The 18,772-nt window shown below is 41.5% G+C and overlaps 1 protein-coding gene across 5 annotated transcripts in view, besides 2 other annotated features; it reads left to right on the top strand.

Annotated features, from left to right (window-relative positions):
• GLG1 (golgi glycoprotein 1) overlaps nucleotides 1-18,772 on the top strand; it is a 159,675-nt gene that overhangs the window by 93,184 nt on the left and 47,719 nt on the right. For 4 of the 5 annotated variants that reach the window (NR_027264.2, NM_001145666.2, NM_012201.6 and 1 more), the window contains 3 exons: nucleotides 5,006-5,092; nucleotides 10,185-10,400; nucleotides 17,287-17,490. Coding sequence is in view for 3 of the 5 variants with exons in the window: in NM_001145666.2 (NP_001139138.1) it covers nucleotides 5,006-5,092; nucleotides 10,185-10,400; nucleotides 17,287-17,490 (507 nt within the window). In the remaining 2 variants the exon portion in view is untranslated. The remainder of the gene's footprint in view (nucleotides 1-5,005; nucleotides 5,093-10,184; nucleotides 10,401-17,286; nucleotides 17,491-18,772) is intronic. The other variant, NR_027265.2, reaches the window with a different exon arrangement.
• Nucleotides 7,745-8,244: an enhancer, noted in NCBI's record as "H3K4me1 hESC enhancer chr16:74539585-74540084 (GRCh37/hg19 assembly coordinates)". NCBI's record gives its function as "activates a minimal SCP1, AML or CMV promoter by ChIP-STARR-seq in naive H9 embryonic stem cells {active_cell/tissue: H9 hESC(naive)}" and the evidence as "EXISTENCE:reporter gene assay evidence [ECO:0000049][PMID:30033119]".
• Nucleotides 17,895-18,570: an enhancer, noted in NCBI's record as "NANOG hESC enhancer chr16:74529259-74529934 (GRCh37/hg19 assembly coordinates)". NCBI's record gives its function as "activates a minimal SCP1, AML or CMV promoter by ChIP-STARR-seq in naive H9 embryonic stem cells {active_cell/tissue: H9 hESC(naive)}" and the evidence as "EXISTENCE:reporter gene assay evidence [ECO:0000049][PMID:30033119]".

Here is an 18,772-nt window from a genome sequence, read left to right as displayed (position 1 = left end):
CACTGGTTATTCTAGTTAGCCATTTGTCTAACCTTTTTTCAAGGTTTTTAGCTTCCTTTTGATGGGTTAGAACATGCTCGTTAAGCTCAGAGAAGTTTGTTATTACCGACCTTCTGAAGCCTACTTCTGTCAACTTGTCAAATTCGTTCTCCTTCCAGTTTTGTTCCCTTGCTGGTGAGGAGTTGTGTTCCTTTGGAGAAGAGGCATTCTGGTTTTTGGAATTTTCAGCCTTTCTGCTCTGGTTTCTCCCCATCTTCTACCTTTGGTCTTTGATGTTGGTGACCTACGAATGGGGTCTTGGTGTGGATGTCCTTTTTGTTGATGTTGATGTTGATGCTATTCCTTTCTGTTTGTTAGTTTTCCTTCTAAGAGACAGGCCCCTCAGCTGCAGGTCTGTTGGAGTTTGCTGGAAGTCCATTCCAGACCCTGTTTGCCTGGGTATCACCAGCGGAGGCTGCAGAACAGCAAATATTGCTGCCTGATTCTTCCTCTGGAAGCTTCGTCCCAGAGGGGCACCTGCCTGTATGAGATATCTGTTGGCCCCTACTGGGAGGTGTCTCCCAGTAGGCTGACTATATTTTCAAGGAGCTTGACTGAAGGAAATTTTTCCCTTCATCCCCTAGCCCACACCCTAATCCTGTAATTACTTTATTCTAAGTATCTCAAGTATATCCCATCTTTTTTCATTCAAATAAGTTCTTGCCTCTTGGTCTACTAACCTCCCTAAATCCTGCCCTTCTCCAGTGTAATCAGATGTGATCTTTTGAGTTCTTTGGTCAAAATTATCCATTAACCTTCCATTTCCTTTAAGATAAAATTCAAAACCTTTAATATGAACTGCGGTATTCAATGTGATCTGACCCCTGCGCCCCATCTCATCTTTCATACCTTCAACTCCAGCTATTCTGAACTCTGTTTCCATAGGTTATCATTTATTCTTTGTGTCCTTTCTACTTTTGTACACTTAGAAGCCCAATCTCCGTCAGTTCATCTGACTAAATTGCTTCTTATCCCTGAGGATCAAGCCCAGGATGACTGGACTGCTACCAAGACTCCCTGTCCCTCCTCTTACCACTCACCAAAATGTGTTCTTCCTTTGTGTTCTGTAAAATCTCCTGCATGCTTGTTATCACATTTATCACACTATATTTTTATTGTTTATTCCCTTTCCAACCTGACTCTTCCTTCTTTTGTCCTCCTGTGGTTGAGCTTCTTGACTTGCTGAGACAATGGTCTTTTTTTTTTTTTCCTTCCTTCACCTTTCTCATCCCCATTACCTAGAAGGATGTCCAGATTATAGTAGTTACTCATTACACGTTTGGGATGGATGAACAGATAGATTCATGGATGGATGTCTTAAGATTTGAGGCCAGGCGCGATGACTCACGTCTGTAATTCCAGCACTTTGGGAGGCTGGAAGCCAGCAGATCACGAGGTCAGGAGATCGAGACCATCCTGGCCAACATGGTGAAACCCCATCTCTACTAAAAATTCAAAAATGTAGCTGGATGTGGTGGCGCACACCTGTAATCCCAGCTAGTACGGAGGCTGAGGCAGGAGAATTGCTTGAACCCGGGGGGCGGAGGTTGCAGTGAGCCGAGATCACACTTGCATCACTGTACTTCTAGCCTGGGCAAAAATTTTTTTTTTTTTTTTTAATATGGATTCTCGCTCTGTCACCCAGGCGGAGGCTTCAGTGAGTCGAGATCGCGCCACTGCACTTCAGCCTGGGTGACAGAGCAAGACTCCGTCTGAGAAAAAAAAAAAAAAGAAATAAAAGACCAGAAAGTAGATTAATGGTTGCCAGAAGATGAGGGTAGAGAGGATAAAGTGTGACAGAATGGGTGTGGGCTTCTGTTTGGGGTGATAATGTTCTATAATTAGGCAATGGTGGTTGTTGCCCATCCTTGTGAATAAAGTAAAAAACCACTGAATTGTACACTTTAGAGAGGTAAATTTTATGGTATATGAATTATATATCAATTTGAAATGAACAAAAAAAAGATGAGATACAGTAAAATGTTTAGCATTTGACAATACTGTCATGGTTCTTAGGGAAGAGACTTGTTCATAAGGAAATTTATGCCTGTCAGAACAAGTAAGTTTTCAAATTAAAAGGTGAAGACATTCAAAAAATCTAAATGGTCATCTAAACGTCTGTTGGCGGAAAATCTATTTCTAGCTCAATTGTAGGACATCTGACTTTGCATTCGATAAAATAGTAAGGAAATATTCTGCTTATAGTTTTAATTTTTCTGGCTTTTGTTACTGTTTGTCCTAAATTTTTGTGATACCAGAAAGCTTTTCTTTTCTTTCTTTCTTTCTTTCTTTTTTTTTTTTTTTTTAAAAAAAAAAGGTTCAAGTTATTCTCCTGCCTCAGCCTCCAGAGTAGCTGGGATTACAGGCATGCACCACCACGCCTGGCTAATTTTTATATTTTTAGTAGAGACCGGGTTTCCCCATGTTAGCCAGACCAGTCTTGAACTCCTGACCTCAGGTTATCCACCTACCTTGGCCTCCCAAAGTGCTGGCATTACAGGCATGAGCCACCATGCCCAGCCTAAAAACTCAGTTATTGATGGTAGCCGAGAGATGAGAGCTTTTACTCATATTTTTGTTTTTGAGGAGGGAGGAGAAGAAATCCTACCCATCCTTTGTGTTTTCTTCAGATCTTCCTCAGCACTCATACAGAATTAACTGCATGCTTCCATGTCATTTCTAATGTACTTTTTATATGCCTCTGTCCTTCTAAAAAGCAGATCTGGTCGTGTCACCCCCTACTTTCTCTTCTGCGATTCCCCGTTATTCTTGGGTTAAAGTTCAGTCATGGCTTACAAAGGCTTTCTGATCTGGCCTGGCTTGAGGCTCCTCGGTCAGTCCTCCATTGGACTTCTGGTTCCCTCCACCCCTTGCTTCCATGGATGCGGTGTCATCTGCCTAAAAAAGTCTTCTCCCTACCCTTGAATCTGGCTAACTGCTTCTAGCCTTTCAGGTTTCATCTTAGCATTTTCTATGGTAAATCTTCCCTGACCAAACTCCCCATCCCTCCCCAGTTTGGAATATTCCTCCCCTATACTGCTGTGGTACCCAGTGATGCCATTAGCCAATTACTTGATCATACTCCCTGCCATTGACTGTAGCTGCCACTGGACAGTCTTTGTCCTTCTCCTTATGTTTTATCCACCAGTTCCTAACACTGTGTCTGGAACACAGTATGTACTCAGTAAACATTTGCTTGTTTCTTCTAATAGCCTATCTGTGAAACGCATTGCCAAGCAGATATTTAACTGAATCAGTGATTGATGACTGTATTTTTTTGTCTAGGAGTATATAGTAGCCAGAGAGGAATGTACCCCCCTCCAAAAATGAATATATACATACATCTTCATGTTCTACATCATCCCAAGTCTCTGCTCTATCTCACCAACTGAACAATTTAAGGCTCATTTTTGCTTAGTTTCAGAAATTGGATCACTTATCAAAATATTTTTATGGAAGCTTCAAAAATAAAGTAATATTTAGTCATTATCTGCAAGAATAGGCTTTAGATATTTTCTAGTGTAACATGTGTTAAAACAGTTGTATAAAGTGGACCTTATGGGCTGGGTGCAGTGGCTCACTCTTGTAATGCCAGCACTTTGGGAAGCCAAGGTGGGTGGATCACCTGAGGGCAGGAGTTCAAGACCAGCCTGACCAACATGGAGAAACCCCATCTCTACTAAAAATACAAAATTAGCCAGGCATGGTGGCACATGCCTGTAATCCCAGCTACTCGGGAGGCCGAGGCAGGAGAATTGCTTGAACCTGGGAGGCAGAGGTTGTGGTGAGCCGAGATCGCGCCATTGCACTGCAGCCTGGGCAATAAGAGGGAAACTCTGTCTCAAAAAAAAAAAAAAAAAGTAGACCTTATAGTGTATGTGTCAAGTGTTTTAAGGGAATCAAGAGGCTGGGCATGCTGGCTCGCACTTGTAATCCCAGCACTTTGGGAGGCCAAGGCAGGGGAATTGCTTGAGGCCAGGAGTTCAAGACCAGCCTGGCAGCACAGTGAGATCCCATCTCTACAAATTTTTTTTTTTTTTTTTGAGACAGAGTCTTGCTCTGTTGCCCATCCTGGAGTGCAGTGGCGCTATCTCGGCTCACTGCAACCTCTGCCTACGGTGTTCACGCCGTTCTCCTGCCTCAGTCTCCCGAGTAGCTGGGACTGCAGGCGCCTGCCACCACGCCGGCTAATTTTTTGTATTTTTTAGTAGAAACGGGGTTTCACTGTGTTAGCCAGGATGGTCTCGATCTCCTGACCTCGTGATCCGCCCGCCTCTGCCTCCCAAAGTGCTGGGATTACAGGCGTCAGCCACCGCGCCTGGCAATTTTTTTTTAAATGAATGAATGAATGAAGATAAATATGCCTAGAAACTAGAACCTGGGCGACTCTCCTCCATGAAACCGATCTATGAAAGCACTGTTGATTGTGAGATCTGAGACTGAATCCACCAAATCTGAGCTTCTGGATTAGACTTTTTGGTTCAAGCAGAATTTAGCTCATATAACCTATTTATATTTTCCTTGAAAACCTTACCAAGGATCTTAATTTTTCATTTTTTCTTGACTTTTTAATGGTTTTTAATTTATAGCTCTAAAAAAATTGTCATTTAAGAATCGCTTGAACCCGAGAGGTGGAGGTTGCAGTGAGCCACGATCACGCCGTTGCACTCCAGCCTGGGCAACAAGAGTGAAACTCTGTCTCAAAAAAAAAAAAAAAAAAAAAAAAAATTGTCCTTTAGTAAAAACGACAAAAATATATCTGAATAGTCATCCTTTTATTTGGCTTGCATTTTTTTCCTTTTATCTAGGAATGTGATGGCATTTTATCCTACTTTGTTTGTTATCTGATGTGAATATGCTTTGTCTGACTCTGTATAATTGGCTTTTGTCATTTAACGTTGATAATAAATTTCGTACTGTTCTAACTGGAGTTTTTCTTTGTTTTTTTTTTTCCTCTCCTATCTAGTTGTTGTGGAATTATAAGCTGAACCTAACTACAGATCCCAAATTTGAATCTGTGGCCAGAGAGGTTTGCAAATCTACTATAACAGAGGTAAGTTGTCAAAGAATTTTGTAGACAACTAATGGCTTAGAGGAGAAAATTACCAGACCAGCCCTTATGAGAAGAATGACTCAGTTACATTACTTTTCTTAGAATTCACATCTGTCTTGGTTGAAAATTAGGAAGTTGGGGGGTGTAATTAGACTCTTTTTGTTAATGTCCACCTACGCTTACATTAGGATACTATTGATTGAGGCAGTTGGAAATCAGGTTCTATTGGTCTCAAAACAGCAAGTAAAAGTGCTGAGGTATCAGTGCTACTCTCACACATTGGACAACATGCTGTGTCTGAAGCATATCAGCCTGGTTACAGGAGGTCTGTCAGCATTCCTGTTTTGGCTATGCAGCTGGATCAATTGACCCACAGAGGTATATACTTCAAATAATAGGAGTTAGTGTTAAAAAGGTTAAGATTTTAAAAATTATTTATCTTGGCCCAGTGTAAACAACAAATAATATTAGTGAAAATTGTGGTACTTTAAATTTCTTTTTTTTTTAACGGTTTTTTTTTTTTTTGAATCAATAATAGAAACTCCAGGAAGCCAGAGTTTCTGCATACTGAAATATGAGAATCACAGAGAAAACAGTTGCTATTTTTCCACCCCAGAATTAACAGTCATAGATCTCACACCATACTAATTGTCCTCAAGCTGGCCCTATTGATGAATTAAGTCAGGGCCACATTCTTCAGAGCTCTTAAGGAAGACCCTGTCTCATCCAGATAAACCATCAGCCTGTGTTCCTTGTGTCATTATGGGGACTCGTAGAACCTGTTTTCTCAAACTTTCTAATACTAGATCAGTTATGTTTTATTCTTTTAAAGCAGTGACCCCTCATATTTACCTTGGGGCTTCCGAGCAGAAAGGCATATCGTTGAAAAATTTATCTTTAGCTCCTAGCTTTAATATTCTACATCTCAAACTCCCTTAGCTAGCTATAGGACTAAACCTCTAACTTTAAAATATCAAGGGCAAAGATGTTTGCTTAATAACTGAACTAAATACTAACAAATTATTCCTAGGCTTGAACTTTAAATGTTTGTATTTTCCCTCTATATTGTGGTACTATACAATTGTAAGTAGATTTTTTTTTTTGAGATGGAGTCTTGCTCTGTCGCCCACGCTGGAGTGCAGTGGTGCCACCTTGGCTCTCTGCAACCTCTGCCTCCTGGGTTCAAGCAGTTCTCCTGCCTCAGCCTCCCAAGTAACTGGGATTACAGGCACATGCCACCAGGACTGGCTAATTTTTGTATTTTTAGTAGAGACAGGGTTTTGCCATGTTGGCCAGGCTGGTCTCAAATCCTGACCTCATGTGATCCACCCACCTCAACCTCCCAAAGTGCTGGGATTACAGGCATGAGTCACCGTGCCCGGCCATAAGTAGTTTTTTTTTAAAAAACACATTGGAGAGATACATATATATATACCCGCATATGTTTGTTTTGCCCCATTTTGTGTCCCATTAAATACATACCAGTTTGATTGGCCCAGGGAAATTTAGTTGAGTATGTACATATTCACTAGAATAATTTCACTCTTTGCATTAGGCTGGTTTCCATATAATGTGTGTATCACGATGGTCCTCTGTGACCTTTTGGGGTGTTCTAGTTTTGTAAAAGATTAGCATTAACAAGGACACTTCTCCCTCCCACAGGAAGATTATACTGGAGTCAGGGAAATTAAATATCAGGAAGAACACAGTCTCCAGCAAAACATTTCATTCTGTATTTTCATTCTATCATCTTTCTTAATTTTGGAATCCTACTTCCAGGGAGAAAAACAACATCACAAGAATACCTGTAAACTATTAATACAAACCAAACTTAATCTCCAGGATTGAGCTAAATCCTGCCTGCTTTCCTTCTGGCTCCAGTCAAAAAATAGAGTGACTGCAGCATTTTGCTCATGGTACCTTTTCAATCTGCTCCCCAGCCACTTCAGAGTTTACTCCTATTCTTAAATATGTTGATGATGATTTAGTGCCCCTTTTTTGCTGTTCATCTTAGAAGTTTAGTAAGATAGAAGGAAAAAGTGCTATCCAGCAGAATGAAGAAACATGCAAACTTCTCATTCTAACACCACGCCCTGTTGTAATGGATAGTGAGCTGAAAAATGAGTAGGTGCCACATCTCTGTTTCAGTAAAATCTCAAGTGATTGAAGCTAAAATTTACATTTAGTTTCTTATTGAGGCTACAGTTCAAAATGTGCTCCTGGTTTCTCTTGAGTTTTTTTTTTTTTTTTTTTTTTTGAGACGGAGTCTTGCTCTGTAACCCAGGCTGGAGTGCAGTGGCGCGATCTCTGCTCGCTGCAAGCTCCGCCTCCCAGGTTCATGCCATTCTCCTGCCTCAGCCTCCCAAGTAGCTGGGACTACAGGCACCTGCTACCACACATGGCTAATTTTTTTTTTGTATTTTTAGTAGAGATGGGGTTTCACTGTGTTAGCCAGGATGGTCTCAGTCTCCTGACCTCGTGATCCGCCCGCCTGGGCCTCCCAAAGTGCCGGGATTACAGGTGTGAGCCACCGCTCCTGGCCTCTTGAGATGTTTTAAAACTTTTGGTTGCTCAATATTAGGGCCTGGAAAAATGTTTCTCTGTTTCATTAAGTGGGTGTCTGCCACTAGTCTTGTTTTGTATCCAGTGTTTTTCTGTGGTTGAATTACAAGTGCTGGGATTTTCAAGCATCTATTCCTCCTTTCACTTTTCAAACTTAAGTCTGTTTTGTTCGGCAAAAAAAAAAAAAAAAAAAAATCTTTTCCAGGAAATACAGTCCTGGCCCTCTTTTTTTTTTTTTTTTTTTTTTAAGATGGAGTCTCTCATTGTCACCGGGGCTGAAGTGCAGTGGTGCAATCTTGGCTCACTGCAACCTCCACCTCCTGGGTTCAAGCAATTCTCCTGCCTCAGCCTCCCAAGTAGCTGGGACTACAGATGCGTGGCACCACACTCAGCTAATTTTGGGTTTTTTGTTTATTTGTTTAGAGAAGTAGTCTCGCTCTGTTGCCCAGGGTGGAATGCAATGGCTCAATCTCAGCTCACTGCAACCTCCGCCTGCCGGGTTCTAGCAATTCTCCTGCCTCAGCCTTCCAAGTAGCTGGGACTACAGGCGCACGCCGCCACACCTGGCTAATTTTTTGTATTTTATTAGAGACAGGCTTTCACCGTGTTGCCCAGGCTGGTCTCGAACTCCTGAGCTCCGGCAGTCCACCTGCCTCAGCCTCCCAAAGTGCTAGGATTACAGGCATGAGCCACCGCACCTGGCCAATTTTTGTATTTTTAGTAGAGATGGGGTTTCGCCATGTTGGCGAGGCTGGTCTCAAACTCCTAACTTCAAGTGATCCACCCCCCTCGGTCTTCCAAAGTGATGGGATTACGGACATGAGCCACCGTGCCCAGCCATGGCCCTCTTTTAGGCATCACAAAAACTTACTTGGGGTTAAACTGAAAGAATTTCATTCATCTTGACTGTTGAAAATCTCTGCTGTCTCTGAAACCAGTGTGAGACTATTATTTACTAAATTCCCAAGTTTGCCCCTTTAGAAGTAAACACAACTTTCTTTTCTGAACTGAGTTATTTACGTGGTCTGGATTTGATACTGGAGTTAGAGGTGAAGACAACCTGTTGCCTATAGGATAATTCCTCGGTGGTGTGTCCTTCATCCAGCACCTTTTGGAAGAGGAGATTGTGTTTGTTTTGCCCTATGGGCATGCTTGTGATAGATAGGCCTAATGGGGAGAATGCTCTCTATTGCATTCAAAGGACAAATAAAGCACTGTTTCTTGTTTATATTCAAAATAAACATTCCCATTTAACTCCTTCCTCTTGTCAGAATTGCCACTTCAGTTTGTCTTAATTTCCCCAAATGCAATAGGCTCTTTTCCAAACACCCTTCTCTGTTTTATAATTTAAGCTTATAATTCTATTATTAGGTTTTACTTTTGCCTGAATTTCAGCATTTGGGGGCTAGTTTGCTTTATTAGCATTTTGTGGTTTGGAATGCACTTTGCAGGAACACCACCATGCAGAATCACTCTGTGCCTGATCCACTAGATCATATGTCTAAACCATCCAAACTAGGTTCCCCTTCCCAAACTTCTTGCTAAACTGCACTGAACATTATTTTAAACATGTTTCCCAGACCACATGTGTCCCAGACCACAGCGGTTAAGTTTGGATTCTACTGATTTCAAAAACACATGTTCAATCCATAGTTAATTTAGAACACATTAATGTCATGTCAAGAAGTAGGCCAGGTGAGGTGGCTCACGCTTATAATCCCAGCACTTTGGGAAGCCAAGGTGGGTGGGTCACGTGGGGTCAGGAGTTCGAGACCAGCCTGGCCAACATGACAAAACTCCGTCTCTACTAAAAATACAAAAATTAGCCTGGCATGGAGGTGAGCTCCTATAATCCTAGCTACTCAGGAAGCTGAGGCAGGAGAATCACTTGAACCTGGGTGCCAGGGGTTTCAGTGAGCCGAGATCATGTCATTCCACTCCAGCCTGGGCGACAGAGCAAGGCTCTGCCTCAAAAGATAAATAATAATAATGTCATGTCAAGAAGTAATATTACACCTTCCCTCCTGTCTCTCCTTGGCCCTTAGGTTTGCCTAACAATAATAGTTTTCTGTGTAGCTTGGCTTAGGGTATGCAGCTGGACTTCACTTTTGCACCTGTTTGTCAAATCTTCCTCCCTAGATTCATCCCCTCGCTGTCTCCTGCATTTTTTGCATGGTTACAAGGACTTCATAGGACCATGCCAAAGCTGTAGATGTTAACAGCTCTTTTCACTGCATTTAGAAGTGAGCATTACCTAAGCATTTGATATGTAGGTATTCTTTTGCAAAACACATTAATCAGGTTTTTCTAGAAGGCACAACAGTCTGAGTAGGGATGACACTATTTTTCTTTAAAATGAATGTATTCCTAAATGTTTTCCTTGGATATATTTCTAAGCATTTTTCTTTTTTTCTTCCAAGTAAAGAATTAGGAAATCAACAGGAAAATTTCAGACATTTTTCTCTTTGATAAATATTGTTTGATACGAGCATGGAACACTTTTGTAAAACAGCTACTTTATTTTGAGCAGATTAAAGAATGTGCTGATGAACCGGTTGGAAAAGGTTACATGGTTTCCTGCTTGGTGGATCACCGAGGCAACATCACTGAGTATCAGTGTCACCAGTACATTACCAAGATGACGGCCATCATTTTTAGTGATTACCGTTTAATCTGTGGCTTCATGGATGACTGCAAAAATGACATCAACATTCTGAAATGTGGCAGTATTCGGCTTGGAGAAAAGGTATCTAATACTACGTTAGCTTCAACAAAGGGGTCTTAAAATTTGGTGTATGAAAAGCTTTGTATAACTGACATGGGAAAAATTTAGGACTGGAGTGACCTTAAGTTGAAATTGAAGAAACTTGTCCAGACAGCCCTAAGAGCTAAGGCTGGTTGACAATGTATTTCATGTGTTTGTAGCAAAATTTTTCAGTACTGTATGGGAAGCAGAGGAATTAATACCTGCAAAGAGTGGTGTTATCTTCACAATATTAGACCAGCTGCTGGTTACCTGTAATGTGCCTCTGGCAAAGGAGAGACCTGAGTTCTCTAATATTTTTTTTTTGAAACAGAGTCTCCCTCTGTTTCCCAGGCTGGAGTACAGTGGTGGGATTTCCGCTCATTGCAGCCTCAGCCTCCTGGGTTCAAGTGATTCTCCTGCCTCAGCCTCCTGAGTAGCTGGAACTACAGGCATGCACCACCACGCCTGGCTAATTTTTGTATTTTTAATAGAGCTGGGGTTTCGCCATGTCGGCCAGGCTGATCTTGAACTCCTGACCTCAAGTGATCTGCCCGCCTCGGCCTCCGAAAGTGCTGGGATTACAGACGTGAGCCACCGGTCCCGGCCAAGTTCAGTAATCTTTCTCTGCATATGTCCCACTGTTAGTATAAAAAAAATTACTGGCCGGGCGCGGTGGCTCATGCCTGTAATCCCAACACTTTGGGAGGCTGAGGTGGGCAGATCACGAGGTCAGGAGATCAAGACCATCCTGGCTAACACGGTGAAACCCCGTCTCTACTAAAAATACAAAAAAAAAAAAAAAAAAAAACCAAAAACAAAATTAGCCGGGCGTGGTGGCAGGTGTCTGTAGTCCCAGCTACTTGGGAGGCTGAGGCAGAAGAAAGGCATGAACCCAGGAAGTGGAGCTTGCAGTGAGCCGAGATCGCGCCACTGCACTCCAGCCTGGGAGACAGAGTGAGACTCCGTCTCAAAAAAAACAAAAAAAAAAATTACTTAGCACACTGGCTGCTGTCCATCTATAAAATATCAGAAAATTTTAAGATATGTGAAGGTACTTCTAGTTAGTTGGAAGAAAAGTCCTCTCTAAATGTGATATATTATTAATCTTCATCTCAGAAGAACTGATTTTAGTAAAGACAGGAAAGAAAATAACTACCTAGCTAGTTTCTTCTTCCACAGTTATATCTGATCTTATTTTTTGACTTAGTCTGCTGAACAGAAGGTCACAATAGAGATCTGGCCAGGTTTATTCTGAATTTGTTTGCTCAGCAAAAATGAAAAAAACTCCTGAAAAGTAATGGATGCCAGTGGGAGAGGGACCCTGAGACCTGTGGCATCACCTATTAGTTGCTGCTGCTCATTAATCTACTGTTCAGGAAATATGATGGAAAATAAAACCCATTTGTCCCTTTGCCCTCTATTTGTTCATGGTTGGCAGGCGTCTATCACTGACAAAGGGGACATGGTGTTAGGATCCTGGAACTGAGCACACCGTTCAAATGAAGGGTTTCTTGCTGTGTATTGTCTGGCTGTCACCAAAGCCCTGATGCCCTTTCCTTAATATGAGCACAGGGCCTGATCCCTTATCCGAGTGTACCACTGAGTTGGTCTTGAAAAACTCTGTGGCTTGGCATAAATCTTTCAGGCAAATAAAGAAAGGACAGCTTTAATAAAGAACGCAGTGTTTTCCTTCCCAGCAGACTCTCAAAATGACACAAAAGCACTTAAGTCACTGATGATTCAGGAAGCTCTTCTGACTTTATTTAGGATGTTGAAAATTATATCCAATTCCAAACCTGGCTCCTTTTAAAGTCTCCACAGGGTTCCAAACATACTTTTCAGGAATCAGAAATGAGGCTTTTTCACCCTCGTGATGAGTGCTCCATGCAGTAAAGCCAAGCGTTTCAGTCCCTCTGTGGAGTAGTTCTTGCCTGGTAACCACCAAGGTAGCAGCTGATTAGCCTCCTTCTAGCTCTCTGAATTGTCACCTCCATGTATGAGTTACTAAGTCTGTAGTGACTGAAACGATTGCAGAAAATAGTACTGCTGGAGCCAAAAGGCACGACAGGATTGTTTATTCACTTAGATAAAATAATAAAAATTGTTCCTATGGACTAAAGATAGAAATGACACTTTTGTCATTTAATCTTTCAGTATGTCTACCAGTTGGGTGAAATTTCAGTTTATACCAGGTCACTACACCAGCATCAAAGGCTTTCTTGTATTTTGGGGACGGTGAGATAGACTCACACATGAACTTCTGAAAAAACACCTTCCTTCCTATATCATTCACTCTGTACTACAGCCAAATTTAAAAAAGAGGGAGGCATGTTCTCAGCTCTTCTCTGCCTTTTTCTAAAACCCGTAGTTTGCTTTTCTGAAGCCAGTTATTCAGATAGAAAACTTATACTGAAAATTAACAAAGCAGCTTCTGAACACAGAAAACAACAGGCTTGTCAGTTTCAAATTTGCTGCCACTGAAGCTTGAAACTCTTCTATGACTGGCTTTGACTTGGCCTCCTCCAGAGGACCGAGGAGAGGATTCATGGTTAATCTGTTTGTACCTTGCCTTTGTATGAACACATAAATGTCATGATTTCAAAACTATGATTTTTTCAAATGTTAATATAAATTTTAGAACAAAGAAGATACATTAATAAAGGCTTTAGAATTTTATATAATAATAAATGTTGTCAAAATGAAAGGGCAGATTTCCAAAAGTAAAGATATAAATGATTTACATCATCTGAAGAAAAAGACTGTGGCTGCCAACAAAGGAACTTAATTGCGGACATGTGCCACAGTATTAGTACTTTTATGCTTTTCTCTCGGTAGCTGTATCATTTATTATTTATTATTTCATTTATTATTTCCTGCTTTTAACCAGTTAATTTGAGTAATTCTAATATTCCTTTTTCCTTTATCTAGTGAGGTAGATTACAGAAGACAGCAGAAGGATTGAAATAGAGAATGGTTTATAGCAGAGATAAAAACTGAGTTCTCGCCTACTATTTAGAGATTAGTGTTAGCATCTGTTGTTGGTTTTTTTTTTTGTTTTTTTTTGTGGGGGCCGTTGTTGTTAAAGGACACGGAATATGGGGAAGAAAAATACTGCCTATCAAACTTCTAAAAACGGATCAAGGCAATGGCAGTAGATTTTAAGCAGATGTTTTTCTACCATAATAAAGTTAACAAAAAATTATTGTAAGTTCATTTATAGGATAATTTATTACTCATATGCCAAGCCTGTGTATTAATAACTTTTTAAACCTAAATGAGCTTATTTTCTCATAATGTGCAGGTGTGTAGTTCACCTCACTTTAATTAATGTTTGGTAACTAACCATGCAGTCTTCGCTGTCAAATATTTATATGCCTTTCAGTTATAAACTCCAATGCACTAAAAGCTCAGAGACTCCGAGGAACTCCTGAAATACCCTTATTTGAAAAAAATATTTATCTGAAAGTTACAATGAATGGAAACATCTAGTAGAGAAGTATTGTTTTTTTTTATTTTGGTGTTGTTGTTGAGACGGAGTCTCACTCTGTCGCCCAGGCTGGAGTGCAGTGGCACAATCTCGGCTCACTGCAAGTTCCGCCTCCCAGGTTCATGCCATTCTCCTGCCTCAGCCTCCTGAGTGGCTGGGACTACAGGTGCCTGCCACCATGCCCGGCTAATTTTTTGTATTTTTAGTAGAGACGGGGTTTCACAGTGTTAGCCAGGATGGTCTCTATCTCCTGACCTTGTGATCCACCTGCCTCGGCCTCCCAAAGCGCTGGGATTACAGGCGTGAGCCACCGTGCCCAGCCAGAAGTGTTGTTATGACCTAATGCCAGTGTAGTTACATTTAGTCACACGTTGCTTATCGATGAGGATACAATGAGAATACCAGGACACGTTCTGAGAAATGTGTTGTTAGGCAAGTTGATCACTGTGTGAGTATCATAGAGTATAGCCTACTACACACCTAGGCTATGTAGTATAGCCTATTGCTCCTAGGCTACAAACCTGTACAGCATGTGGCTATGCTGAAATACTGGAGACATTTATAACACAAGTATAGTATTTGTGTATATAAGTACATATAAACATAGGAAAGGTACAGTAAAAAACACAGTGTTCCATAGCTGAGGGTGGTGGTGTGTGCTTCTAGTCCCAGCTGCTTGGGAGGCTGAGTCAGGAGAATCACTTGAGCCCAGGAGCTTGGGACTGCAGTGAGCTGTGATCCCTCCACTGCACTCCAGCCTGGGCAACAGAGCAAGACCCTGTCTCTTAAATAAATAAAAATGAAAGTTAAACAACAACAACAAACAAGTTTTAGGAGTTTTATAGACTCCACCCACTCACCCAGATTAACCCCATAAATAAATAATGGACTGTTAGCTAGACACTTCATGTTCTACAACTCAAATGAGTTAGTTAACTCCTCTGAGCCTCTGTTCATTCATGTCCGCAGTAGATATCAGAGCTGTGTCCTTTCTTCATATGTGTGTTAGGAGATAACACGAAAGCTTTCATGGAAACACTTGGAAATTAAGGTGCTATAGACAAATCCTTTAATTAAAATAGAAAAAAATACATTCTTTGGTTGATTTGAAATTTTGTCTGAAGTAGATGTTACGCTACTTGGTTTTAGGAATCTTTTTTTTTTTTTTTTTTTTTGCCTGAGACGGAGTTCACTCTTGTTGTCTATGCTGGAGTGCAGTGGCACTAACTCAGCTCACTGCAACCTCCGCCTCCCAGATTCAAGCAATTCTCTCGCCTCAGCTTCCTGAGTAGCTGGGGTTATAGGTACGTGTCACCACACCCACCTAATTTTTGAATTTTTAGTAGAGACAGGGTTTCACCATGTTGGCCAGGCTGGTCTCGAACTCCTGACCTCAGATGATCCACCCGCCTCGGCCTCCCAAAGTGCTGGGATTACAGGCATGAGCCACCACGCCTGGCCAGAATCTTTTTATTATATGCAGATTATTTCATAGATAGGTATTTTATTATAACAAGATTTTAATTGCGTGTGTATAAATGATAGCACTATATATAAAATATATATATAAAATATAATATATATATATATATATACTTTTTTTTTTTTTTGAGACAGAGCCTTGCACTGCACCTCCCAGTCTGGAGTGCAGTGGTGCAATCTCGGCTCCCTGCAACCTCTACCTCCTGGGTTCAAGCGATTCTCCTTCCTCAGCTTCCCGAATAGCTGGGATTACAGGTGCACACCACCACATCCAGCTGATATTTTGTATTTTTAGTAGAGACAGGGTTTCACTGTGTTGGCCAGACTGGTCTTGAACTCTTGACCTCGTGATCCGCCCACCTTGGCCTCCCAAAGTGCTAGGATTACAGGCATGAGCCATCGTGCCGGGCTAATAGCACTATATTTTAAGATGCTTTGGTTTGCTATATTAGTGGTTATACCTTAAATTGTTGAAACATATCTTGTAAGTATAGATTAGGACTCTTGAATAGAAAATATTTAGGGGAACTATCTCATATTTTGCATGAATGAATGTTTGTGGTTGCTATGGGGATGATGAAGTGTACAATTAAAGATAATTGGATGGTTTTTAAGAAAACTCTCAGAAGCGTTTTGTGTAAACAGTGGTAATCTTGTTAAATCCCATTAAGATAAATCCAGAACATCAACGTGAGTATTAAACAACAGATTCTACATATTGGGATGTTTGTGGACACCACAGAGTAGGGAAAGGAGCAAGAAAGTCTCTAACTTCTTAGTGGATTATGTGGTTTGTTGGTTTTTAACTTGACTGAAAGCACTGTTGGCCGGGCGCAGTGGCTCACGCCAGTAATCCCAGCACTTTGGGAGGCCGAGGCGGGCGGATCACGAGGTCAGGAGATCGAGACCATCCTGGCTAACACGGTGAAACCCCGTCTCTATTAAAAACACAAAAAATTAGCCGGGCGTGGTGGCGGGCGCCTGTGGTCCCAGCTACTCAGGAGACTGAGGCAGGAGAATAGAGTGAACCCGGGAGTGGGAGCGTGCAGTGAGCCGAGATAGCGCCACTGCAGTCCAGCCTGGGCGAAAGAGCGAGACTCCGTCTCAAAAAAAAAAAAAAAAAAAAAGCAAGCACTGTTATTTGGGAAATGCCTGGTTTTTAGAGACAAATGAACAGAGATTTCAGCAGTGTAATTTCAGTCTTGACATGAACTATGACCAGAACTTTGAGCCGATGTGGTTTTTTGTGTGTGTGTGTGTGTGTGTGTTTTTTTTACAGAGTTTCTGTCTTGTCGCCCAGGCTGGAGTGCAGTGGCACGATCTCGGCTCACTGCAACCTCCGCCTACTGGGTTCAAGTGATTCTCCTGCCTCAGCCTCCTGAGTAGCTGGGATTACAGGCGCACACCACCATGCCTGGCTAATTTTTTGTATTTTTAGTATTTTTAGTACAGATGGGCCTTCACCATGTTGGCCAGGCTGGTCTCGAACTCCTGACCTCAGGTGATCCACCTGCCTCGGCCTTCCAAAGTGCTGAAATTACAGACATGAGCCACCATGCCTGGCCCTGTTGTGTTTCTTATGAATTTTTGACATTTTAAATTTTTAAAAATTCAGGTTCTTATTTCTAGTGCTAACTAAACTATAATACTTAAACTTTCCAGGATCTCTGTTTCCATTTGTAGCATGCAAGTATTATATTCTAACTGAAGATTATTGAGAGCATTTTCTTTAACTTCCACAATGTGGTTGGTTCTTACTTGATTTCTTGGTAGAACGTTAATAAGTCAACTCTATGATGGGGTTTTATTACTTTGTGTGTGTGTGTGTGTGTGTGTGTGTGTGTGTGTAGCCAAATGTTGTTTATTTGAAACCCATGTGATAAAAGTTTTAAAATATTAATATCCTCGCTATTTTAGGATGCACATTCACAAGGTGAGGTGGTATCATGCTTGGAGAAAGGCCTGGTGAAAGAAGCAGAAGAAAGAGAACCCAAGATTCAAGTTTCTGAACTCTGCAAGAAAGCCATTCTCCGGGTGGCTGAGCTGTCATCGGATGACTTTCACTTAGACCGGCATTTATATTTTGCTTGCCGAGATGATCGGGAGCGTTTTTGTGAAAATGTGAGTCAGCTCAGAAACTGTTCTTTTCTTCCTTTTATTTTTACACATATATAATTTTGTTTTAATTAATTTAATTGTGTTGTTTTTTGAGAGATTGAGTCTTGCTATGTTGCCCAGGCTGGTCACGAACTTCTGACCTGAAGCAGTGCTCCAGCTCAGCCTCCCCAATTTTTGAGACAGGATCTTGCTGTGGTGCCCAGGCTGGAGTGCAGTGGTGTGATCATGGCTCACTGCAGCCTCCAACTTCTGGGTTCAAGCGATTCTTCTGCCTCAGCCTCCCAAGTAGCTAAAACCATAGGCAAGCACCATCTTGCCTGGCCAATTTTTTTAAAAATTTTTTGTAGAGATGGGGCATTGCTGTATTGCCCGGACTGGTCTTGAACCCCTGGCCTGAGGTGATCTCCTCCCTCTGTCTCTGAAAGTACTAGGATTATAGGCACGAGCCACTGTGACTTAAATATTTTTTAATACTCTATTCTAACGTAAAATAAGCCATCAAGAAACCTCACATGTAGAAAAGCCACAGAAATGGAAGAAGAAATTGGTCCCAGTATAGCAGAAAGTGGTAACTGGATGCTCAACCTTGATGACTGAACATTTGGTTAACAGCTGGCTTCTAATGATCTCCACTTAGTATTTTTTCTGCTTTATCTCACTTCTCAATTTCAGTTCTTGGAAGTCTGTTTTATCTATAGGAATTTTATTTTACCCAGGATCTTATTTACATCTATTCAATGGCTAAAACTTTGACGCATTATATATTTATGTGTTTTTGGCTAAGGTGAAGAAAACAGCAGGTGGCTAATCTTTAAAACCAAATCCTTGATTACCACCTGCTGACTCTACAGAACAGCCTTCTAAGTCTTTAAATAGAATGGTCTCTCCATCCTTACAACAAAGTACTGAAAGTAACTTGTGTACACTTCCACTCTGCCTGCTGGTTTGCATTAACAGCTTTAACCATCAGAGCCACTGATGTAAGAGTTTCGTTAACTCTAGCATACACTTGTAAGAAAGAAGACTCAGAGGCTGGGTGCGGCGGCTCACGCCTGTAATCCCAGCACTTTGGGAGGCCGAGGCAGGCAGATCACTTGAGGTCAGGAGTTCGAGACCAGCCTGACCAATATGGTGAAACCCCATCTCTACTAAAAATAAAAAAATTAGTTGGGCAGGGTGGCGGGGGCCTGTAATCCCAGCTACTTGGGGCTCTGAGGCAGGAGAATTGCTTGAACCCAGGAGGCAGAGGTTGCACCGAGCTAAGATTGTGCCACTGCACTCCAGC

The sequence above is a fragment of the Homo sapiens genome, chromosome 16, assembly GCF_000001405.40.
Source record: "Homo sapiens chromosome 16, GRCh38.p14 Primary Assembly".
Classification (NCBI taxonomy): Eukaryota; Metazoa; Chordata; class Mammalia; order Primates; family Hominidae; genus Homo; species Homo sapiens.
This window is presented reverse-complemented; position numbering and strand designations above follow the sequence as displayed.